At 34.4% G+C, this 26,514-nt stretch overlaps 1 protein-coding gene across 13 annotated transcripts in view; it reads right to left on the reverse strand.

Annotated features, from left to right (window-relative positions):
- ATF2 (activating transcription factor 2) overlaps window positions 1-26,514 on the reverse strand; it is a 95,945-nt gene that overhangs the window by 45,506 nt on the left and 23,925 nt on the right. For 8 of the 13 annotated variants that reach the window (NR_045774.2, NR_045771.2, NR_045770.2 and 5 more), the window contains 5 exons: window positions 18,648-18,722; window positions 12,374-12,443; window positions 3,680-3,776; window positions 487-605; window positions 226-354 (listed from right to left, as the gene is read on the reverse strand). Coding sequence is in view for 6 of the 13 variants with exons in the window: in NM_001880.4 (NP_001871.2) it covers window positions 226-354; window positions 487-605; window positions 3,680-3,776; window positions 12,374-12,443; window positions 18,648-18,679 (447 nt within the window). In the remaining 7 variants the exon portion in view is untranslated. The remainder of the gene's footprint in view (window positions 1-225; window positions 355-486; window positions 606-3,679; window positions 3,777-12,373; window positions 12,444-18,647; window positions 18,723-26,514) is intronic. The other 5 variants (NR_045773.2, NR_045772.2, NM_001256092.2 and 2 more) reach the window with 2 other exon arrangements.

A 26,514-nucleotide genomic window follows, 5' to 3' on the forward strand; every position in this document is an offset into this window, starting at 1 on the left:
ATAAGTTTTATGTAACATGACTGTTCTCCCCTATAATTTTTCTATGTACAATAAAAGCTGCAGTCTTCTTACCCTGAAATATCTGAGTATTGACAGGCTTTCACATATAAAACTATTGCAAGCTGACACTGAATTTAATACATTAACATTTTATGGAGATTAAATAGTAAACTTTATTTGGGTACTGTTCCTCCCCCTTACTTTGTATTTCTAAAAATTTCTAACCTTCTCATCACTGGTAGTAGACTCTGGGTGAGGTAAAGGACTATCCTGGTGAGTTGTTTCTACAACAGAAGGCTCCTCAATTTTGCTTCTTATGATAGGTGTTGCAAGAGGGGATAAATCTAGAGGCATCTATAATTCAAATAATAAGGAAAAGGTTATAAGTTCAAAAACAGTGTGTCTAAATTTAAAAAGCAGGAAGTATAAACTATGATTACTTTTCTGTCAGAAGTACTCTTTTTAAATTTCATGGTTACAACATACTTTTTTAATGTCATCTTCTGAAGCTTTCTTGAATTCATTCTCAAATGGACTCGCCAACTCATTAAACAAACCCACTTCTTCACAGTTTTTCAAGAATCTTGTTGGTGTTGGGGTCTGATCTGAAATAAATGTCAAGAAGTAATCATGCATATTTAAATATGTTAAGACTCTAAAATATAGCTACTAAGTTAACAAATTAGCAGGACTGGTTCAGTCAGTTGTTAATTCTCTCTTTGGAAAGACCTCTTCCTTTAAAACAAACAAAATTTGGTTAAATTTTTGTTGTACTTCGTATTTCCTCCAACTTTAAGAACTATGAAATATGAAAGTAGGAAAGAAGTCCTTTTTGCTCCTTAGTCCACTGCTTCTTTCTGAGTAGAATGGCATAAACATCCTCTACTCAAGAGATAAACTATTATTATCTAACACAGTATAAAGAATTTTTTAAATTTACATTATTAAAAACTACAATTATTTAAATAAATGAAATTTGGGGAAAACTAGGATAAGAGCATGTATATCTGCTTTAACTTGGTTCTTCCACTAGCTGTTCATACTCTATTATGAAAGCAAACTAAGATAAAACAATCTTTAATAGGTAGATAAAAATATTGTAAGAAAGAAAAAAAAAGTTAAAACAGCCCTAAAACAACAAACCCTCTTTTTACCACTATCTACTGAAACTAATTTTCTAATTTAATGCATTTTACAAGCTAGGTACAAGGAATATGTGTGAGTCACATGCCTCCAGAATGTTCTAGCTTAATTCCTAAGGAGTAAAGAAAGAGTCTACTCTATTTTCTTACAACATGAAACATTTCAACTTTACTCGAATATGTACTCCTACTATGTACATTAACATAGGTACTCAGTGTCCATGTATAGGCTACAAAAAATGCCAGGTAAGATTTACACTGAATGAAAAGCAAGAAACTTATAAATTCTGCCTATTTAGTGTTACTATTTTCAAGGGTGTCTATTCATATTGATTAGAGTTGGTAGCACATTCAAATTCTATTCACATTTAATATATTTTAGAGCACCAATTTTACAGGCTATAGCAGGGATCTAGCCTAAGTGAAGTAAAAGTACTCTACTAAGGAAGACTCTTGGTTTAAGAGAAAATACTCCTAATTCCTTTTGTAAGATTAAAATTTACATATTTGTTAACCATTATGTCCCCACAGAGGGCATTACTTCCTATTTTACCTTTGCCCCCCACATGTATACCTAGAGGACTAGTATTTTTACTATGTACAAATATATTTCACACTAAAATGACCCACTTGTAATACAAAACTAGACATAATGCAGGCCTGTTTCAGGCACTGTTAGTAATATCAGAATTACTAAAAGGACTCTATTATATCATAATTTTACTAGTTTCTAGCCTATCCCTTAATTCCCACCTCCCAAAAGATCTCAAAAATCACATTACAGTAAGTAAAGTACATGTATTAGCTTAAGTCCATCATGACTAAATTAGTAGGTCAAATCTAAATGTGACTCTTCTGTTCACACCCAAAGGGTTTGTCTATCTAAGTTCATCAGAAGGCTCTTAACTTACATTAAAGGGAGGGGAAAATCTTAAAAAAATAAAATACATAAGCATAAGTCACTTTTATCAATGATTACTGGAACCATCAGACTTCAGAAAAGTCAACATAGGCACAATCATTTAACATGCACATTGCATATGGCTACTGATCACCAAAAATATACCACACACATCATGCATTTTATTTGCATAGTAATGTTAACCTATTCATCTCAACATGTTAGTGAAAAAAAAGGTCAAGTACTGTGTTTGAATGTGCTCTATTTTTCTACTGCATTAAATGTGATCAGACAGGAAAGTAATTTCTAGAAACCAATTTCAAAACATATTTGAGTTAAAGAGTTACACACAGACAGAGATTGTGCTAAGGCAGAAAGTTTCAGAGAAACAAAGAGCTTCATGCCTAGGAGAGTGAACTTTCGAGGTTGTTACTATTTTGCTTGTTTGGTTCCTTTGGTTCTAGCTCTTAATGTCTAATGTAAAATACTCCAAAAAAAAAAAAGCATTATCTCACTCTTCTGTATAAGTAACATATCTCTAAGTTACTTATGGAACTTAGTTAGGATATGTTGGAAGTTCCCCTACATTTTTCCTACGTATATTGTTTTCGATAAATTAACTTTGTTACCTTCAATTTCTTCATTACAAAAATTTCAATACTGTAAGTAGAGGGAAAACCACCGAATATTTGCTTTATTATCTATCCAAAACACTGCATAGAACAATTTGGTCTCTATACTGATTAATAATTTAAAAGTATTACAGTATTTGGGTGTAATTCCAGACTTATATGACATATAACAAGCTTTACAAGAGAAAAGAAAAATCTGGAGTTAATCTGAATATTTATGATATGTAAATCTGTGATGACACAAAGGATCTGAAATTTATATAGTTTTGTTTTATCATAATACTTATAAAATATACAAAAAAGTAGCAAAATTATACATGACATATATGTATATATACATAGATGTGTGTGTGTATATATTTAAATACCAAAAAAAGGCAGCTAATACAGCATGGAATGACAATCAACCAATGTATGAACTGGGTTTTTCTTTTCACATACAGTGAAAAATAATCATCTGCTTAGGTGATACTGTACGTTCATAGTGTCAACACACAAAAACTGCATTGACTGAATTTAGAGCCTCCTTACTGAGAATATTTTACTAATACAAATGTTTAGTCTGAAAAGAAATATAAACAACTCTAATGAACAAGTCTGCTCACTGTTCTTTCTCCAATGGGAGAAGCTTGATCATTTTCTATCTTCACACAGCCTTGTAAGTCAGTTGTACAAGACAGCTAAAAGAAATGCTGACTAAATACCATGTTAGTTCAATTATTAGTTAAATGTAAAATTTGTAGATGGTATGAATGTTCCCAGAGTTCTAATGAACTTCCACAAAATCGACATTGGAATATAAATTTGAAAACCACACAAAAAAATGAAATGAATAGTCAGAAGGAAACATGAAAATGTAATGGGTAAAATACATGTTGCCAACATTTACTATAATGAAGTCATTGGAATATCACCAGACTATATTATTTACAGAGAATACACAAAAATTGTGCACATTCCAGGTGAAATATGTATACAAGCTATTAATAAAAGCATATACTAACCAGCCACAATGACACTGTCATTACGTGCTGGACCAAATTTCAGTGTCATCTCATGTTTATGTTTATGGACAGCCAAATGATCCTCGTTGGTAAAACGCTGTGGCAAAAAGTTTTAAAATATAGTTAAGATTTTCAATTTGATCAAATAAGTAAAATGATTAGGAAATTAATTTCCACAACATGTAAAACCACCATTAACAGTGAAATAGCAGTTTTTAAACTATAAAAGAATCCGTTATTGTTAGTAGATAGCACACTAGATTGCAAACAATCACAGAGAAACCTATTACTCAAGAATAAGCAATACTGATATATTGCTAGGTCACATAACTCATTTGAGAGCATTTAAAAATAAAATTGGAGGCAAAGAAACTTTATATAAATTTCTTATGGATACTAAAAATAGACCACCATTAATTTGTCTTATCATAGTAGAAACTATACTCCATGGTTCAATGACTTTTCAAGAAAGTACTGTAGTATTAATATTTACCTAGACTTAAGGTTACTTACCACTTTTTAAAAGAGAATTTTCTTATAAAAGTATTACGCCTGGACAAAATTTAGAAATAAATCTGATTTTTATGTTACCACATAAAAAAGAATGCCTTTGTTTTAATCCAGCAAAGAAATAGCAACCGATACAATAACAAAACAGCTCATTTTAAAATAAAAAAATTTAAAGTAGCCAAAATAATTTTTTCATGAGAGTTCTTACATAAAAATGGAGCAAAGTTGTTTTTAGAACATTTTATTTTTAAAGTTATCCATCATATTTTTTCCTACCTCTAACTTGGATAAGTTTTGCATGCCAAAGGTAACATTTATGATTACAACATAATAAATGCATTATCTCCAATGTCTGAACATCAACATTTTTGAAGATGCTCATTAAGCAACATTTATAACTGAAAACAGGGAGCTGTTATTTCAGAGCAATAATTTTAAAATGCTAAGTTAACAGATCTCAATTCACTCTTTATAACCTTACAAGTGAGGATGTTAAAATATATATACTTGAACTTGGTTTGCCCAAACCATCAAAATGAATTCCATTTCTTGTGGTCTCCTTCCCCTACCCAATTCACTACATCCTTTCATGCAACTAATAATAGTAGCTTTAGGGTTACCTTAAACACAATGTAAAAGAATGAAACATTTTTAACATTTTAACATCTTTGGCCCAGTCCACTATCCGTCTGCCTGTAGAGGTGAAAATCATCTCATGTGTGCGGCACAATGCCTTGGTTATAGCACCTATCATATTTTCATATGTCTGTCCTTTTAAGTAGGCTGAGCTCCTACCGTGGTCCCCCAAACTTAGCATATAGTTAAGTACTCAATAAATGCTAACTGAAAGAATGAATTCATTACAATAAAATAGATGAATCTTAAAGATCAATCTGAGGGGGCTAAAAAAGACCCTAAACCATTGTTCATTAAGATGAATTCAACTTCAATTTAATCTTGCTACATTTTATCACTTAGTCTTTGGATTACTTCACATGCCAACAGAAAACTATTATTTTATAACCTCTCTTCAGAACCTGCCTGTATTACCACTGAAGGAGAGTGTTCAGATGCAACAACACTTCCACTACTTGACATATTCATTCACTCTTCAGACATTTACTGGGCAGCAACTATAGGCAGTAGGACCACAATCAAACTTTTCCCCACCCAGGTACTGTCTTCCTATTACTTTATCATTATAAGAATCTCCCCCAATTTTGGAGAAATAAGAAACAGTGGTACTTTTGACAGATTGCTGAATAACAAAGTTCTCAGAAAACGAACATATCTGCAGAGCATACTGACATTAATATTTTATGCTTTTTCTTTGTATTGCTGTTTTAAATATATGTGTCTTACATCCTACACTAAAAGCATCTGAAAGTAATATTTAGTTTATGTTTCAAAGAACCTCATAATGTGGCTTTTCCACTGAAGGCAATCATTAAACATTTGTGAATGAATGCATTTTGGTGCAGGTCCCAGATTTTAAAACTGCAAACTCAACAAATTAATAGATAAGAAGTTGGAATGTTGTCGCCTAGGAATTTTATTCTATCAATTTTCTTTGCTTGGATTAGTTTGACCCCAAATATTCAAATCAAAGAACTGCATGTAGAATAAATAACATTGTGTTCGTACAAAACATACGAAATGGCACCAAGTTCAATCCTAAGTGTAAAGAAGTGGCCAGAAGCAACCTAACAAATATTTAGGATCATATGAATATTAAAAGGGAGAATGCAAGGAATATGTATTTATAAACTCTCATATAAGATCCACAGATCAAATTTCCCTAAATGCAATTTACAAAGGGATTACTGATCCTGTAACAGTATTAATTATATACAGGGACAGCAACACTGCAAAGGACAAAATACACTCAAAATACAAAAACACTGCAAAAGACAAAATACACTGGCACTTGATACAGGTGAATTTGACCTTGGTTATCTGAGAAAATTTATTATTTTTAACAAGAAACTTAAGACCGTGTGAAAAGGCAATCTTGTGAAAAGGCAGTCACCAGAAGTTTAATATGAAAGAAATGCATTCTTTATTTATTTATAAAATAGCTGCAAGCTAAATTTTTTTACAGAATCTATATGAAATGTCTTCCCAGTCAAATTATATTCCAAGAATAAGTTTTGTAAAAATATCTATATTACTAGCAACACCAACATACTGAATTCATAAACTGTATTCTTCCAGGCATTTCAAAGCACAACCCCAAAGAAAATACTGTAGATATACAAAGAAACACAAGTATTTTGTTAAACAAGACTAAGACCTTGAGTATATAGCTCAATAAACAATGGAAAAAGTGAAAAAAAAAAAGATTTTTTTTTTTGATAGGTGCCTAGCAGGTAGCAATCTCTCTTAAAAGGTTAAAAAGAAAGGGTAACCTGTCAGATGGGAAGAAGGTAGATCAGTTGCTTCTATAATAATTTAAGTTCTGATATCTGGGAAATCTGTGTTACTAAGGCTTGACCACTCTCACCAGAATTAACTTCCTAAAAAATCAGTCATTCTATAGTTAATACATACACTCATATCCATGATATATTATTATTCCTTTTAAACATATTAGATAGACACAAATAAGTTTTCAAGCCATTGGGCCAATAGCTCATTTCACTACTTTTTTCACTAGTTTAAGGACTATTGAACAACAGCAGGAAGTTACACTGATATATTCACTGTCTCTCTCATGCACACACACGCACACACTCCCACACATACATCTCCATTGTCACTTTAGACTAAATATAAAATGAATCTTTATCTCCTTTATAAAACAGCTTATAATGTGTAAACATTCTACCAAAGAAACATTTTTCAATGACGGGGCACCAAAAGCAAAGATACTACCAAGTATATGGAAGACTAACAAAGATAAATGAATCTTTCACCAAATTATCTCAGTGTCTCTTTTACTAAATTCCAAGGAGCATCACTTTAAAACAAGTGAAATTAACAGGCATGTGGAAAACCTAAGAGTAACTGAGGCATACAAGAAAAGATTTAATAGCACAAGTCTAGTATTAAAAACTCTTTGTAATCATTTCTATAGGACTCTCTCTGAAGTTGTATTGTCACCAAAATAGATTTTAAATTGTAAAAATCTATTTGAAACCTTAAATTTAACTAAGACCATTGTGTTAAAGCTGAAACTCAAATTCAGAATAATGTCATTGCTTACTGGTGACAAAAAATAACAAGAAACTTAAAAAGACTGTGTGAAAAAGCAATCTTGTGAAAAAGCAGTCACCATCAAAATGATGCTTCTAAAACCAATTCTTACTAAGTAGTTCCTAGGAAATATTATATAAATCTAAAAACAGACCATACCATTTCTGTTCTCAGCAAGATTTAACAAATGGATGAGTAGCCAGGTTATATTTTGATCAGTAATACTTGCAAAGAGATTATTTTAAGTATCTTAGGGTACGAACACAGGCCCCCCTAAAATAATACTCAGGATCAAATGTTTAATGTTTAAAAGCATCACTATTAGTGAGAATTCAATTATGAGTGAGTATAAAAAATTGATTTAGCTTTTAAAAAACAATTTGGCAAAATACACGAAGAAACTTAGAAACGTGTAAACATTTAAATCCAGTTATTCTAGTTCCAAAATGTATTTTAAGAAACTAAGTAGACATATACAAAGGGTTATGTAGAAAGATATTCATCACAATGTTGCTTATAATACCAAAATTAAAAGTTTATAATAGTGGAATCAGACATGCTCAAGCAATAGTGACTTAAAGCCATGCTTTCGATTAATACACAAAATGCTGATATGTGTAATGTCATCCAAATACTAACAGAATACAAAACTGTGCAGTATGGTCCCAATTTTGTTTTAAAAATAAAACTAAATCCCATCCTCTCCTAGCTATTTAAGGACCCCACTCCTGCAATGGTCCCATTTTCTGCATTGCCAAATATGCTGTGATATTCCCACCTTAAAATGCAAAACAAAAAAGTTCCACCATCTTCAATCCTACATTGAAGCTATGTATCTCACTTTCCCTTTAGCTACACCTCCAAGAAAGAACTGTCCTATAATGTCTCCATTTCTGGTTCTTCCCATTCTCTCTTCAACCTACTCCAATTACACTGTTGTTACTGCCCCTTCATTGAAAGCTACTCTTATCATAGTCTCTAAATTCAATAGTAAATACTGAATTATCATCTTATCCTATTTAGGATATGACTATATTGTTTCTCTTACTTTGAAATATTTTTTCTAACTTTCAAGATTCAATTTTCCTCACTGGTTGCTACTTCTTAATCTTCTGTGCTACATTCTCCTCCTCTTTCTGACTTTTAAACACCAGAGGTGCCCTAAAGCTTAGCTTTCACCCTTCCATCTATACTATTGTGATACAGAAGTAAAACTAAGCAAATATGGGAATTATGGATAAGACAAAATGTAAGTATTACAAACCTCGACAATGGAAAAAATAAGAGTAATTATCAGACATTAGGGGATAGGGAAGTGGAGGTAGAAAGTATGCATGTTAACTCCTTTAATAGTAGGAAACCTAAAAAAATAATTCCCTAACTTCTTAATGTTTTTCACATATATAGTTAATGTTACAGAGGTCTTTTAACAATTCCTTATGATACACATACACACACAAATTCTAATGTTCAGCAATCAGTTTTTCTTCTGTTTAATTGTAATGCTTTTATTTAAAATGGCATGTGTATTAGTAAGAATTCAATCACAAAACCCATTCTAACTATTTTAAGCAGAAGAGAATCAGGAAAGGGCTTTTTTGAGTCTCCAAGAATGATATCTAGAACATGTCAAAACTAGTCTTTGTCCAAAGGCTGGCCCTAGAAACACATATTGCATTAGCTGTACTTCAGGGATTACAGAATCAAGTTGTTTGTTCACTCCAAGCCAGCAAAATGGATGATTTGAGTAATACTATCTCTCATTCCATTTAACTCAGTACCAAATCCAAAAAGTAAAGTGGGTCAGGCGAAGTGGCTCATGTCTACAATCTCAGCACACTGGGAGGCCAAGGTAGGCAGATGGCTTGAGCCCAGGAGTTTGAGAACAGCCTGGACAACATTGAGAGATCCTGTATCCAAAAAAAAAAACCAAGCAAAAAATTAGTCAGGTGTGGTGGTGAGCACCTGTGGTCCCAGCTACTCTGGAGGCTGAGGTGGGAGGATCACCTGAGCCCAGGAGGTTGAGGCTTCAGTGTGTCATGATCATGCTACTGCACTCCAGCCCGGGTGACAGAGTGAGACCCTGTCTCGAGAAAAAAAAAAAAAAAAGTTAAAGTAAATCTGATTTACCAGAAAGAGTAAATTTGGTTGGTGAAACCTAAAATCATATGCAGAATTCTAGGTGCAAAGAGAACTGTAGTTTTTAGCTCTCTTAACTTTACAGAAAAATATATATGTCAAATATATCTCCAAAACATATGTCAAATTAGCCTATTTCTCTCTCTGTGTCCACTGTTAACACCTAATTCAAACCACCATCATCTCTCACCTGGACTGCTGTCAGCCTCTTGTCTCCCTGTGACCACTCAGCAGTGGCTTTTCACTGCTCAGTGAATAAAACCCAAACACCTTATCATAGGATATGTCTTTTTTTCTGTCTCCTCTGACCTCCTCTCTTAACCTTCTCTCTGTTGGTCATTATATGCTCCAGCCACAGTAGTTGCGTTTCTGTTCTTAAACACACCATACACATTCCCTCCCTAGAGCTTTTACATTTGCTGCTCCTTTAGTCTAGAAACATACAAGGTTTGCTCCTGCATTTTCTTCAGGTCTTTGTTCAAATGTCACCTTAGCAGAGGCACATTCCCTGGTTAACCTATCTAAAATTGCATTAACCCTGATAACTCCTATGTTTACCTCGCTCTACATCATTAAATATCACATAAATCAAAATTACAATGAGATACCATTAAACCCTCACCAGAATGACTAAAACTTAAGAGACTAACCAAAAATATCTTGAAAAATGAGGACTAAATTGGAGAATTTACCCTAACTGACTGGAACACTAACTGTAAAGCTAGAGTAATCAAAATGGTGTGGTACTAGCATAAAAGTTGACAGAGTGATGAATGGAACAGAATATAATGCCCAGAAACAGACCCACACTTACACAATCATTTGATTTTCATTAAAGGAGCCAAAGCAGTTTAATGAGGAAAGAAAAATCTTTTCAGGAAATTATGCTGGGATATCTAAACCCGTATTTTTTAAAAACTTAGCTTCAACTGGCTGGGCGCGGTGGCTCACGCCTATCATCTCAGCACTTTGGGAGGCCGAGGCAGGCGGATCACCTGAGATCAGGAGTTCAAGACCAGCCTGACCAACATGAAGAAACCCCATCTCTACTAAAAATACAAAATTAGCCAGGTGTGGTGGCGCATGCCTGTAATCCAAGCTACTTGGGAGGCTAAGGCAGGAGAATCACTTTAACCTGGGAGGCGGAGATTGTGGTGAGCCGAGATTGTGCCATTGCACTCCTGCCTAGGCAACAAGAGCGAAATTCCGTCTCAAAAAAAAAAAAAAAGTTAGCTTCAACCCCTATCTCACACCATACACAAAAATTAATTCAAGATTAAAGAGAAATCTAAATGAAACAGTAAGTTTTAGAGGAAAACAAAGGAGAATACCTTCATAATCTAAAGGCAAGCAAAAATTTCTGACAAGTCACAGAAAGCAACAACCATAAGAGGAAAAAAATTAATACATTAGGATTCATTAAAATTAGAAACATCTGCTCATCAAAAGATATTATTACGAAAATTAAGATGCAAACCACAGAAAAAGAAGCCTCTGACAAGGACTGGTATCCAGGATATATAAAGAACTCCTACAACTCAATAATAAAAAGACAACCCAATTTTTTAAAATGAGCAAAAGATTTAAAAAGATACTTCACAAAATGTAAGGGATACAAATGGCCAACAAACACATGAAAAAAGCAGCCTGGTAATTTCCTAAAAAGTCAAACATATATCTATCAGATAATCCCATCATTATACTCCCATGTATTCCTCCAAGAGAAATGAAAGCATGTGTCCATAAAAAGACTTGTACACAAGTATTCACATCAGCTTTATTAACAACTAAAAAATAGAAGTAAACCAATATCCATCAGATGAACAGATAAATTGTGAGATAATGAAATATTATATCTCAATGAAAAGGAATTAACTATTGGTAACATAACATGGAGAAATATTGAATTATGTGGAGTGAAAAAACATACATACTATATGATTCCATTTATACAAAATTCTGGAAAATGCAAACAAATCTACAGTAACAGAAGGCAGACCAGTAATTGATGAAGGTAGGTGGGATAAGAGGAATTATAAATAGGCATGAGGAAACTTTTGGGTGATTGTATGTTTACTATCCTGATTGTGCTGATGGTTTTGAGTATACGTGTGTTAAAACTTATCAAATGGTACATTTTAAGTATATACAGTTTATTGTAAGTCAATTATATTTCAATTTAAAATATCAACTAAAGAAAATAAATGAGAAAGAATAATGCTTACTTACATTTATGGTCCGTATATTTAAGTACTTTGTAACTTTGCTATACATTACATTTATTCTTTAATTCTTCCTGTCTATAGTTATTTTAAGATAAGTATAATAGGAATAGATTAATAATTTAGTGGGTTGTTAAAAAAAAACTAAAATATTACTTTCTGAAACTGCTGCCACATGCCCAATATTAAAGACGTTAGGCTTAACAACATTAATACATTAGTGATACTCTAAGAAGTAAATACCAGTTAATTTCATAAAAGTTCAGTAAGCAAAATAATTCTCATATAATATCGATCTGATTTCTAATTAGGCAGTTTATCAATAATTTTCAACCAATAACAGTCAAATTATACTTTTATATCTTGGACTTTTGTGTAGGATTTCCACCTTTCCATTACAAGATATAATGCTCCCCCCCTCCGTATTGGATTATACTTTCTAAAGCTCAGTTGCACTATTGAAGAAAAAGCAGAATTTCTTGCCAAAAGTTTCCTGGGTTTTTTTTCATCCTAACTCTAAAATTTTACAGAATACTGTAAGAAAATACTTTTAGTGATAACATATTATATCATCAATGTTTTAATAAGTGGAAATATACAAAATAATTTAAAGTAATTTATATATTACCTGGCCACATCCAGGCGCAGTACATAGAAAGGGTTTGTCATCACTCATATTCCACAGGTCCTTGTATTGCCTATAATCAAACAGAAGACACTTTAGAGTACATATTTTAAAATAAAGAATAATTTAAAATATAAATCTCAAGATTTTTCATTAAGCTTATTAACTTTTCTATTTTAATACAAAATAAAACACTTTTCTGACATTTTAATTCTATCTTTCTTATTATGAGAGTAGATAAAATACATGTAACATGCAGATTTTGCACTATAGGAAAAAGGTTAGGAACACTGCTCTGTCAGGCAAACTTTTTCCTGCTCAACAGTGTAAAAGTACTTATGGTGAAATGAACACATTTCATTTATTCAAGAAAATTAAATGAGCAAATACTATGCAGTCTTCCAAGGATCCTACTGTACTGTTATGAAAATAATGTGGCAAAATCTCCATCTCCAGTCCTATATTCTAGTGGAATATTTGTATCTATTGGCTTAAACATTTCTACCTAAATATGCTACCAAAACATCAACATGTCTAAAAACAAACTCTTAAATCCCTTCTTAAATTTACACCTTTTCCTATATTGGAAGCACTATAGAAGACTCAGAGAAATTCAAAAATAAAAGAGAAATGGATCCCAGCCTCAGGGAATCTCTCCTCCCAGTAAAGGAGATAAGGTAGTATTAACATAACAAAATCTGTATCTCTAACTCTGATCTCTTTCTAAATCCTTAATTTCCAACTTTTTGTTAGTGGTATACTGAGGATCATAAGTTAATCTTCTGAGTCCAAGTTTAAAAGTCTTGTCAATATTTTATGCTGTTTCCTTGTAATGTATCAAAACTTTTGCCAAAGATTTGATATATCTCATTTTTAGGAAACCCATGCTGGTTCACAGTAGTCACTGCTTCATGTTTAAAGCATGTACGCAATGATCACTGAGAATACAAATGGTTTCCAGGAAGTCACCATTATTAATCTCATATACAAAATTTGTGAAATGTGTTAACAAAAGTTTTATTGCTTTATCCAAAATATTTATTGCTATAATTGTCAAATAGCCTATGGACAACTTGATATTGCACTGGTAGGTGCAAGGATGACACTTGGGGAAACACTGGTCTAGACTTCTGGTTTCTAGTCCAACACATAAAGAACTTGAAAGTCATCATTCCTGTCCTCATAAAGAGAAATAAGTTAAACAAACGGAAAATCATCAACTCTTCTTACATCCATCAGAGAAATGAGGTCAAAGGGCAGTGCCCTGAAAAGTTAAGACTGAGGCAGACACTGAGAATCACAGTTTATTAATAGCAAATGCCTGCTGCTGGTGCCAGTACTAGGCAGAGACAAAAAGCAGAGACAAGCCATTTTCTTGTACCCTGTACAAATTTTTGACCTACACAATCTGTGAGCATTATAAGCTATTTTATAACTAAATTTGGAACACCTCCTCATGATATCTGCGATTTATCTAAATAACATATTATCCTTCTAGTGCTTCTTAAATGTTTACAAACTAAGGAATACTGATATATAAATTTTTAAGTAAGAGCAAAGTATTCTAACAAGATTGGCTGTAACTGACCACTAGTAAAACTTACTAAATAATGAGTGAGAACAGTATGGCACCGCAGTTCTCAAACAGGATCCTCTACACTCTTAAAAATTTAGGCTCCCAAAGAACGTTTTTGTTTATGTACTATCAATACTGACCACATCAGAAATTAAAACTGAGAAATTCTAAAAATATTAATTTATGATTTAAAAATAACAATGAACTCACTGCATGTTAACACATATTTTTTAAAACAATATATTTTCAAAACAAAAAATTTAGTGAGAAAGGCATTATTTCCCACTTTTTGCAAATCCTTAACATCTGGCTTAACAGAGTATAACACAGCTGAATTCTCCTATGTGCTTCTGGTATTCAACCTGTTGTGATATCATCATGTATCCTCTAGAAAATGGCATCAAATCCTTGTGAGATAATGAGAATTTTAAAAAGGTAAATATTTTAGTATTATTATAAAAATGTTTTTGACTTCACAGACCGCTCTCACATTATGAGAATTCCTGGTACAGGCATATCTCATTTTATTGTGCTTAGCTTTATTGCACTGTGCAGATGCTAGTCTTAAAAATACACGTAAATCTCAGGGAGAAAGCAGATGCTGCAGATTTTTTTCGGATACTCTTTATCAGATTAAGAAAGCTTCCTCCAATTTCTAGTTTCCTGCGAGTTTTAATGATGAGTAGACATTGAGCTTTATCAAATGCTTTTTCTGCATCTATTCAGATACTATTTTTTTCTCTTATTGTTTTAATGTGGTATATCACACTGAATGTTGAACAAACAAACCAGAATTTCTTAAATAAATCCTCCCTTTTGCTCGTATTTTAAGATGTTTACAATCTATGTCATAAGAAATAACCTTGCCAGGTATCTAAGTTCAGTGGCTTTATAAGAATTGGGTCATGTTAATTCTTTTCCATTCTCTAGAAAAATCTGCATAAGATAGGTACTAATTCTTCCTTAAATGTTGGAAGAATTCACCAGTGAAGCTATCTGAGCCTGGAGGTTTCTCTTCTGGGTGGTTTTAAGTAATGAATTCAGTATCTTTAAATAGATACAAACCAAAATTATTATATCAGTTTTGTTCTTCAGCCAGGTGTGGTGGCTCATGCCTGCAATCCCAGCACTCTGGGAGGCTGAGGCAGGTGGATCACTTAAGGTCAGAAGTTCGAGACAAGCCTGGCCAACATGGTGAAACCCTGTCTCTACTAAAAATTAAAAAATAAGCTGGGCATGGTGGCACACACCTGTAGTCCCAGCTACTTGAGAGAGGCTGAGGCATGAGAATCACTTGAACCTGGGGAGGTAGAGGTTGCAGTGAGCTGAGACTGTACCACTGCACTCCAGCCTGGGCAACAGAGTGAGACTCTGTCTCAAAAAAAAAAAAAATAAATAAATAAAATAAATCCCAGTGCTTTTATGTATGTGTAGAAACTGAAAAATCTGTAACAAAATGCAAAAGACAATGAATAAACAAGGCAGTCATGAAGAATTGTAATTAAGCTAGAGGACTTTTATTACCAGATATCATGACCCATTATAAAATTACAATAATTAAGACACTGTGGTATCAGTCCAATGATAAACATACAAAGAAATGGAAAAGAAGGAGTACAGAAATGGAACCACACATAAGGCTACCTGATTTGTACAAATGCTCAACTGCAGTTAAGTGGGAAAAGGATGGTCTTTTCAATAATTGGTTCTAGAAATTTTATATAGCAAGAGTACTTGACTCAACTAATAATAATTATGTAATATTCCCTTGACAACAGTAGTTTATCAGTGCTTTAGATCAATGTTTCCCAAAGCATGGTAGCTATCATGGAAAAAAGATTTTTAGCCAAATAAATTTGGGAAATGTTGAATGTGTAGGCTTCATTTCACAGGACTTTTCGTGACCTTAATGTTATGTCAATTAAGGATTCATAACTTTAAAAAATGCCCCATGAATTCTATCTCACATTATACTAAAAATTAAGTCACAGTAGATCATAGACCTAAAAGTGAAAGGCAAAGCATAAGTTTCTAGAAGAAAAATAGGAAAGAATCTTCATGATTTTGGAGTAGGCAAAGGTTAAACAGGACACAAAAGGTCCATAAAAGAAAAGATTGATAAAACAGATTTTACTCTACATAGTGCATTTTATTCTGTTTAAATTATACCTCAATAAAAAGCAAAAAAGGAGCAAACAGTTATTTAACCTAATACTAGGAAAAAGACAAAAATTATACAGGTAACTACATCCAGAGACAGTGTGTTCCAGGAAACCTTACAGAAGCTTTGAGAAGGACACAAACTATAAAAAATAATTAAAAATAAAAGAATATGTACAGTCAGCCCTCTGTATCTATGAGTTTTGCATCCATGGATTCAATCAATCTTGGATCAAAAATATGTGAGAAAAAACTGCATCTGTACTAAACATGTACAGACTTTTTTTCTTGTCATTATTACCTAAACAATATAGTGTAACAACTATTCACACAGCATATGCATTGTAGTAGGTATTAAAAGTAATCTAGAGATGATTTAAAGTATACGGGAGGATGTGCATAGGTGATACACAAATATTACACGATTTTATATAAGTAACTGGAGCATCCTCAAATTTTGGTATCTTCAGGAGATCCTGGATCCAATCACCCACAGATATTGAGGAACAACTGTATATCTAAAAAAAACGACTGATTTTCACAGGACTCTAAGTAGAAGTGGAGTAAGAGATTGAAAGAAAAGCCTGGCATACAGCAAACCAGTAAGGGCTTGACAGACAAGTCATACAACCCAACAACTAAGAAAATGCACTCATCTGAAAACTGGTTTAAAAAAAAAAAAAAAAGAAAGAAAGAAAAAAGATCAGTGTGTTTAATCTGCCTTTTGTGCATAAAATGTATTTCCAGTAACCAAAGAGTTGATGAAGGAAAAGTCTTTTATAGAATTTCAACAAGTGCAGAAGAATAAAATAATTAGAAAATTGCCACTTTAGCTGGGTGCAGTGGCTCATGACTATAATCCCAGCACTTTGGGAGGCTGAGGTGGGAGGATGGCTTGAGCCCAGGAGTTCAAGACTAGCCTGGGAAAGACGGCGTGACCCCATCTCTACAAATAATTTAAAACAGCCACTTGTGGTAGTGTCGTGGTAGCGTCATGGTGGTGTACACCTGTAGTCCCAGCTACTCTGGAGGCTGAGGCAGGAGGATCTCTTGAGCCCAGGAGGTCCAGGCTGCAGTAACCTGTGATTGTGCCACTGCAATCCAGCCTGGGTGACAAAATAAGACCCCATCTCTTTAAAAAAAAAAAAAAAAAAAAAAAAAAGACCATCCTGGCTAACACTTTCGAAACCCCACCTCTACTAAAAATACAAAAAATTAACCAGGCATGGAGAAGGGGGAGGAGGAGGAACAAGTGGAAGAGGAAGAATACCACCACTTTAATCCCTAATGAAATAATGGATCTGGGCAACTATCATCAATGTCTGATTTTTAAAACCATTAGGAGAAAAGTTGATAGGAACTTCATAATGGTTGGACCAGGCTGACAGCATCTGAATTCACAGATTAGTCTTAAATTAACACCAAAGGTTGTTAAGGGTGGGGACAGGGAATGTCAAAAGTCGAAAGTGAATCTAATCAAGCCTCCCTAGCTCCAACTACAAGGAAATTCAGGAGACAGAAAAAGAAGTTAAACAACACCACCAGGAGGCAATCATCCAAATCCAATACAGATATTTTCAATTTACGATGGGTTTATTGGGACATAACCCCACCATGAATTGAGCAGTATACTGACTGTATTACTTTCCCACCATCGTAAAGTCAAAAAACACTAAGATGAATCACTGTAAGTTAGAACAAATGACCTGGTCTCCTCAACAAGTAAATGTCATGGAGATGAAAAGAAGAGCAAAGGAAGAGGGTTGCTGTTTTCCATTAGAAGAAATTTAATAAACATACAACCAAATTAAGGACCTTTTTGGATCCTGATTTGAACAAAACAAATGCAAAAAGACATCTCTGAGTCAGGATTACTTTCCTACTTTTAAATTTCGATTTAAAAGTTCTCAATTAATTATCCCATCCATCAACTTGTTTTCTTTCTAGAAATTCTATATAGCAAATATATTTGACTCAACTAATAATTCTGTAACACTGTTTCTTTTTCAAATAGTAGCTTGTTAACCCTTCAATAGCAATGCTCCCCAAAACATTTCAACGGGGATGTCAGTAGACACTAAAGAAAAAAAGGTGTGGCCAAACAAATCCGGGAAATGCTAAAATATACTTTTCTTTCTTTCTTTGTTTTTTTTTTTTTTTTTTGGCAGGACTCTTCACAGTCTTTAATATGCTAATGTAAAATGACTAGGGGAGCACCCAGAGTATGGCATTTTTGCCAAAGCTATTTGCTATTTGAATACTTTTTCACAGAACATCCCATGGGACTGATAGAACTCATTTTAGAGGAAATCAAAACCTTAAAACATGTTTATGTCTGTCATAGCTAAGTGTACTTAGATGCTTTTAATTTGATTATTTAAAAACAAAATAGGAGTATCAGCTAAACTACATACTAAGTAAGTGACTTGTTTTGTATGGAAAAAAACACCACAAATACTTACCTAATAGAAACAAGCTATAAAGATTTTTACAACCCAAAATGTAAAAAATGGCTAAAAATACCAAATATTGCACACATACCTGGCAGAATTCACATGTAACTTGAATTTCATAAGTTGAATAACTTATCACATTCTTTTTCTCATGGCAAGAATACTGAAAAACAAAGTGGTTTCACACTGTTAAAAATAGTTCTGAAACACTTCTTGAAACAGTAGAAAATAAAGTGCTCAAATTACTCTCTGTAACACTACTGTCACCCCAAAACTAGTCACTATTAACAATTTTTATAATAGAGTACTGCTCTTGAAATATCAACACACCTACACAAATATCCTAAACATAGGTATTAACATATCTAACTCCACCAAAGGGATTAAAAGTGGAAGAAACATTTAATTCAGCCCTTAGGGCTGTGATTGAAGGGCAGCCATTAAAAGAGTAAAAAAATCCTTACTTTGAACACTGATGAGAATGATGCAACCTAGTAATTCCATATTTCTCTTCAGAAAGCTTTTAATTTTAAAAAATGTACTTACTGATATTCAGCTTCTCAGCCTAATTCATCAAAATTTATTTGTCCCACAATGTAGTTGATCTATATAAACAGCTCCAATTGTATCAGCTTAAGGACAAGTACAGTATACTGAAACTACTCAGATTGATGACCCATTTTTAAAACTCCACCAATGGCTTCACCTTATGGTCACTGAAACCTCATCCAGTGGTAAATAAGAGTAACTATGTGGTTATCCAAATAAGCTAATGGTGCATAGAGGAAAATTGCATTTTTCATAATTTTGTTCATAAATGAAGTTTCAAGAATGTCATGCTCAGAAAAATTTGGTAATTCTTGTGGGGAAATGTGTAACTAGCCAAAGTTCAGAGTCCTGGAGTAAAGGTGGATCTGGTATAGGAAATAAGAAGAGAGAAAGTTTCTTCCCTTGTCCCATGCAAAATTTTTATCTGAGAGGGTTCCATTTCTTCACTCACATTCAACTTTACCATGCTGTCTGCGAGGAGAGGAAAAAGAACACTAGAAAAATCCAAGGAAATCTGTAATAGCCATGCTTCTGTCATTACAAGTAGAATATGAGCTCCATGAGGGCAAGGAACTTATCTTTGGGTTAACACCTACAACAGCGCCTAGCTCAGTTTAGTACAAGGAATATTTAAACATCAACTATACACAGACACAAAGATGAAGAAAACTCTCCTTGCATTTGAGAAACTTTCAGTCTAGAGGAAAGAGGAATATGGAAGTACAATTTTCAATTAATTTGGTAGGAATAAGAGTTAAAATATTATGAGAGTAGAGAGGTAGTGGAGGGATCAATCTGATAGCTCTAGAAAAACTTTCAGAGGGAGTTAGCCCTTGGTACCCTTCTCCTTAATCTTTTCTACTCTCCACTATACTATCCCCCTCCTCTACAAAACAAGTTTCTTACCTACACAGCAGCCCATTTCTTAGCCAACAAATAAAAACTCCATTCCCTTATTACCATTTTCTAATACCTAGCTAAGAGAGTTATAAATATTAACAGTTCAAGCACCCTGAGACAGAAACGATAACAATTCTGGGAGGCTTAAATGCTATCTCTTTGTTAATCTAACTGAATCTAAAGCCTATAAATCCAGGCTTATCTCCTTTTTATTGCAGTGTTGCAAATATGCTCATAACAGAAGCCTGGAAGGGAGGTTTTGCTGAGCTATAGATTGTTGGAGAAGTCAATGACTGCACATAGACAATTGTTAATATATCACATTACTCTCTGGCAAGTAACTACAATCTATACTGGTAGGAAAATCAACTGTCATGAAAAGCACCAGGAGAGTTCTAGGTAAAATTTTTTAGAAGTCGGCTTCTTTGATTTCTCTTAACTCTTCTTCTAACATTTCTTTATCTTCCTTGCTCTTGAGTTTCCATTTTGTACTTGGCATGAGTACTTCTTGCTAGATGCTGGGGATGTACTGGCAAATCAAGATAGATACCTGCCTTCATGGAGTTTCCAAGATAGTGATGGGGCTTACATTAACTAATCAAGCATCCAACTCAGAGCTCCTTTTCTTACAACCTCAAATTAAGAATCAAAACTATCACTGAATACCATAAATACAAATCTGATTATCCACTTAGTAAATCCTACAGACTCAACCTTTTAGGTATACTTTGAGAGATACAAATTTAGCTATCATTTATATCTAATCTGACCTTCTAAATGCTACTTCCAATACACCATGGCCCATTTAACAGTATCAGACTGCCTGCCATCCTCTGAAAATCACCCTCAGTTTGCATATTATTTTAGCTCTCCCTAAAATATACCCTCCCAAATGAATGTTTGCCTCCTTTGATATTACACTGTCAAGGCCCACTTCAAATAACACTTCCTTTGTGATACCTTCCCCATAATCCAGATTGAAAATTTCTTCCACAAGCTATGTTGTTTATGCTTTGCTTACAGCAACCACATTGTGTTCTGTAATGTCATCTATTATATAATCTGTGTGCTTCTCCCACCCCATTCTACTGCCTACTACTTCTTGAAGAAACATAACACAGCCAAAGGAATATGAGCTTTTGAGTCAGAACTGGCTCCAAAACCTGGTTTTGTCACTCGTAAGTTATACAATATTGTGCAAGGTTCTAAGCAACTTTGCACTTCAGTTTCACCAACTATAATACAAGGGTAGTATCACCTACCTCACAGTTGTTGTAAGCATTTTAAAATAGTATATGTAAAGTATATAGCACAATGCTCGGCACATGAGTACTGGATAAAATGGCAGCTGCAGTTCTATTATTTCTACTGTTATTAAAATTATAAGGCTGTCTCTATTCATCGTTGTATCTGCACAGTATCTTACTTGCTAACAGCAGGCACAGAGTAATTGTTAAATTGTTAAAAGAAATTATATCAGTTGGATACATTTTAAAAAATTAAAAAAACTGTAATTTGTAAAATGGGTAAGTCCATATTTACTTCACATGGAAATAATAACTCTGCATCTTGGAGAAGCTACCAACCTCTACGCTCCAAGGTTTTAAAGAAATAGATAGCCAGGCGCAGTGGCTCACGCCTGTAATGCCAGCACTTTGGGAGGCCGAGGCGGGCAAATCACCTGAGGTCAGGAGTTCAAGACCAGCCTGGCCAACATGGTGAAACCCCGTCTCTACTAACAATACAAAAATTAGTCGGGTGTGGTGGTTCATGCCTGTAAATCCCAGCTACTCGGGAGGCTGAGGCAGGAGAATTGCTTAAACCCGGGAGGCCGAGGTTGCAGTGAGCTGAGATCGTGCCACTGTGCTGCAACAGAGTGAGACTCCATCTCAAAAAAAAAAAAAAAAGAAAAGAAAGAAAGAAATAGATTACATTAAATACCACCACTCCTTTAATCAGGAAAAGTGTAAACAGATGATTTTTATTAAAGAGACAGACCAGTAAATTTGGGTAACCTAAAGTTCAAATATTATGAAAAATCTAAAACATGACTTTCCCACTTCTCAGCAAATTGTAAATACTTCCATTCCAATTCTTCAATACTGGTGAAGGCATCTTAAGTAAATTGCTGAAATATACTCACTCATGAACATAAAGTAAAATGAAGGTTAAAGCAAAATGCCCAAAAAGTTAAGCTAAAATTAAAGTGCCATACCAATGTGTGTAAAAAGCAGAATAATATAACTCCTTCTTTGAGAAAAAAATAACAAAATACATCAGGAAATCAGGAATAAATTTAAGTAACAAATAATCTTTAATTTCATAGAGGTAACTATGAAGCAGTCACTGCACAGATACACATAAGAAAAAGTGTCCTCATTCTGGAATGTTTACAATGCCTTGTGGGTTTAAAAAAAAAATCAGCTAGGCGAAAATGCCAAAGATTAAAAGTCCCAAATCAGACTGCATCTTGGATTTGCTCTTCTTTTACTAATAACTTGGTTCAAAGTGACAATGGCATTCTTAAGCGAATAAAGAGATTTTCTTGAAAACTACTGACACTACAACAATGGATGAATCTCAAAATAATTATGCCAAGTGAAAGCAGACAGTCAAAGAAATTATATTGTATGATTCCATTTATATAAAATTCTAGAAAATGAAAACCACAGCGACAGAAAGCAGATCACTGGTTGCTGAGGGACAGGAGTAGAAGGAGTGGGAGGGAAGGATTACAAAGGGGCATGAGAAAACTTTTGAGGGTGACAAATTTATCATCTTGATTGTGGTGATGGTTTTATGGGTGTATACATATAAGTCAAAACGTATCAAGCTGTATACTTTGAATATGTATAATTTATTATAAGTCAATTATACCTTAAAAAGCTGTTTTTAAAAGGATACCTTGAACTGTTTGAAAAATAATAAATCCTGCCCAAGGTGCAATGGCTCACACCTGTAATGATAGCACTTTGGGGTGCCGAGGCAGAAGGATCAGAGGCCAGGAGTTCAAGACCACCCTGGGGAACATAAGGTTCTGTCTCTATACAAAAAAAAAAAAAAGCAACTTAAAAATTAGCCAGGCATGGTGGTATGTGCGTGTAGTCCTAGCTGCTCAGGAGGCTGAGGCAGGAGAATCCCTTGAGCCTAGGATTTTGAGACTGCAGTGAACTATGCTCTTGCCAATACACTCCAGCCTGGGGGATAGAGCAAGACCCTATCTCAGGAAAAAAAAAAAAAAAAAAAAAAAAAAAAAAAATATATATATATATATATATATGTATATATATATGTGTGTGTATATATATGTATACACACACACACACACAAATATCCTTAAAATATCAACTTCAAGGTTTGTGAAATAACCTTCCTGCCATAGCTGCATGAAGTCAAAGACCAGGGCTAATGACCATTTGACCATTCATAAATGGTATCTGTCAATTACTTAAGTCAGTGAAACTCACCCTAGTTTTTTTCCCTCCTCCTATCCCACCATGGGCTGGATTCTTCATTTCACATCCTACAAAAACTCAGCATAATTTCCAGGTTTGAAATGGCAACTTTCTCTCTGTCTCCTACTGGCAGGGGCTTAATAAAGTGCCCCCGGCACTTTATCCAAATTAAATACAACATGAAGCTTTATCTTCAACACTTAAAAATTTCACCTAGGTATGTGGTTCTGGTAGAATCAACATAAAACTATAAACATATTTTTCTTTTCTTTTTTTTCTTTTCGGGACGGAGTCTCGCTCTGTCGTCCAGGCTGGAGTGCAGTGGCGCAATCTCGGTTCACTGTAAGCTCCATCTCCCGGGTTCACGCCATTCTCCTGCCTCAGCCTCCTAAGTAGCTGGGACTACAGGAGCCCGCCACCATGCCCGGCTAATTTTTTTGTATTTTTAGTAGAGACGGGGTTTCACCATGTCAGCTAGGAAGGTCTCCATCTCCTGACCTCGTGATCCGCCCGCCTTGGCCTCCCGAAGTGCTGGGATTACAGGTGTGAGCCACCGTGCCTGGTCCCTATAAATATATTTTTCAAATGTGAATCTACAAAAATCTTAACATGTATGCTATCTACATGTGTTACTTCAGAAAAAAATAAATATTCCTCCATACAAACTGTTGTCAAACTTCAAATGAGAAATATGACCAAAAACAGCTCTGGGGTAAAAGAGCACTAACAATTGCTCCCAAGATTAGAGGAAGAGATGGAACAGAAAAATAGGGAAGAGCAAATCCCTGAAAATTCTAAAAAAGAAAAGAAAAAAACCTACAAAATATATTGAGGTAATAGGCAGTTATTTTAATATAGACATAAGAGGATCCTATGAACTGAGAACACTTGCTTGATGTTCTGCTGCAGAACTTAGATCAGTACAAAAGTGAAGGCTTCCTCTTTCCAGTTTTCTTTTCTTTTTTTTTTTTTTTTTGAGACAGACTCTCGCTCTTGTCGCCCAGGCTGGAGTGCAATGTTGCGTCTCGGCTCACTGCAACCTCCGCCTGCCAGGTTCAAGCCTCCAGAGTAGCCGGGATTACAGGCACGCACCACCACTCCCGGCTAATTTTTGTATTTTTAGTAGAGATGGGGTTTCACCATGTTGGCCAGGCTGGTCTTGAACTACTGAACTCAGGTGATCCACGCCTTGGCCTCCCAAAGTGCTGGGATTACAGGCCTGAGCCATTGTGCCTGGCCCTCTTTCCAGTTTTCTAAGATAGTTCCACATACAAACATGTATATGTTCCTCGTATTTCCTCTATTTTATTGCTATAAAGCATGTTATTTTAGAACTCCATACTTGTTTAAATTCTACTTTCAATTTTGTTTGTGACAACATATAGCAATTTCTGCTATTAGGTATCCTGTATAAATGATCAATCTTACATAATTCTAAAAAACCCTAACGCTGCCGAAAGAGAGAGAGAGAGAGAGAGAGAGAGAGAGAGAGAGTGTGTGTGTGTGTGTGTGTGTGTGTGTGTGATCAATCTTACATAATTCTAAAAAACCCTAAAGCTGCAGAGAGAAACAGAAAGAGAGAGCAACAGCGAGCGAGCAAGAGAGAGAGTGTGTGTGTGTGTCTGTGTGTGTTTTAAGAGACAGAGTTTTGCTCTGTCACACAGGCTGGAGTGCAGTGGCATGATCATAGCTCACTGCAGCCTTGAAATCCTGAGCTCAAGTGATCTTCCCGCCTCAGCTTCCTAAGTAAGTAGCTGGGATTACAGGCAATGCTACCATGCCTGACTAAAAGCTGAAGTTTTCATTGGCGTTCAGAAGGAGATCACTTGTTATATCCTAATAATGTAAACTAAACTACACCTAATGAACTAAGGCATTATAAGGAACTTTAAATCTGCTCCAAGAATAATACAGAAGGGCAAAAAGAAAATAAAAGTTACCTTGAATACTACCATTCAGAGATAACTACTGTTAACATTTCAGAGTACATAGTCTAGTCTTGTCAATGTATGGTGATACATAACTTTATAAATTATAAAAACATGACTCTATGACAATGAAAAAAAGAAGAAAAATATATAAATAGTATTACAACTTCCTCTAAAATGCAATTATCTAAATTCTGCCATATAATTAAATAGTAATGTCATTAAATAGATGTCATTTTTAACGGCTATATAGTACTCCATCATATAATTATTAATGGGCTTTTATCATCAATGAATATCTTTGGGACAAATCTTTGTGCAATATCTGTAATAAATTCCACAAGATGAACTTCTAGAAGTGAAACTGCTATATCAAAGTAAAGGCATATTTTAAGGCTTTCAATTTATATTGCTAAACTGCCCTCCAAATATACAGTATTGATTTCTACTTTACCAGCAGAGAAAGACCTCATTTCTTAATACCAACACAAACAGTGGATATCATTTTTTAACATTTTTGTCATATTAGTAAAAAAAACTAATTTTTAAGTTGCATATCTTGACACACTAATGAGGCTGAACTTTTTCATATATATAATGGTTATTTGTAGTTCTATGTAAAATGCCTCCTCTGCCCAGCCCCCGCCTTTTTTTCAAGATGAGGTCTTGCTCTGTCACCCAGGCTGGAGTGCAGTGGCATGATCATGGTTCACTACAGGCTCCACCTTCTCAGACTTGAGCAATCCTCCCACTTCAGCCTCGCAAATAGCTGGAACCACAGGTGTATACCACCATCTCCAGCTAATTTTTACATTTTTTGTAGAGACAGGATCTCCCTATGTTTCCCAGGCTGATCTTGAACTCCTAGGCTCAAGCCATCCTCCTGCCTCAGCCTCTCAAAGTGCTAGGATTACAGGCATGAGGCACTGCACCTGATTCTTTGCCCATTTTTTTTAAAAAAAAATGTTAGTTAAAATTCTCTCACTTGAATATAGAATATAGGCTTTTTCTTATGACATGGATTTCTGATCGGGCACCTCGTCGTTAGGTTCCTAATATAGTCCTAACTATTCATTTTGCAAATGAGGAGACTGAGGTCTGAAAGGGTAAAATGACTTATTCG

Source organism: Homo sapiens, chromosome 2, assembly GCF_000001405.40.
Source record: "Homo sapiens chromosome 2, GRCh38.p14 Primary Assembly".
NCBI lineage: Eukaryota > Metazoa > Chordata > Mammalia > Primates > Hominidae > Homo > Homo sapiens.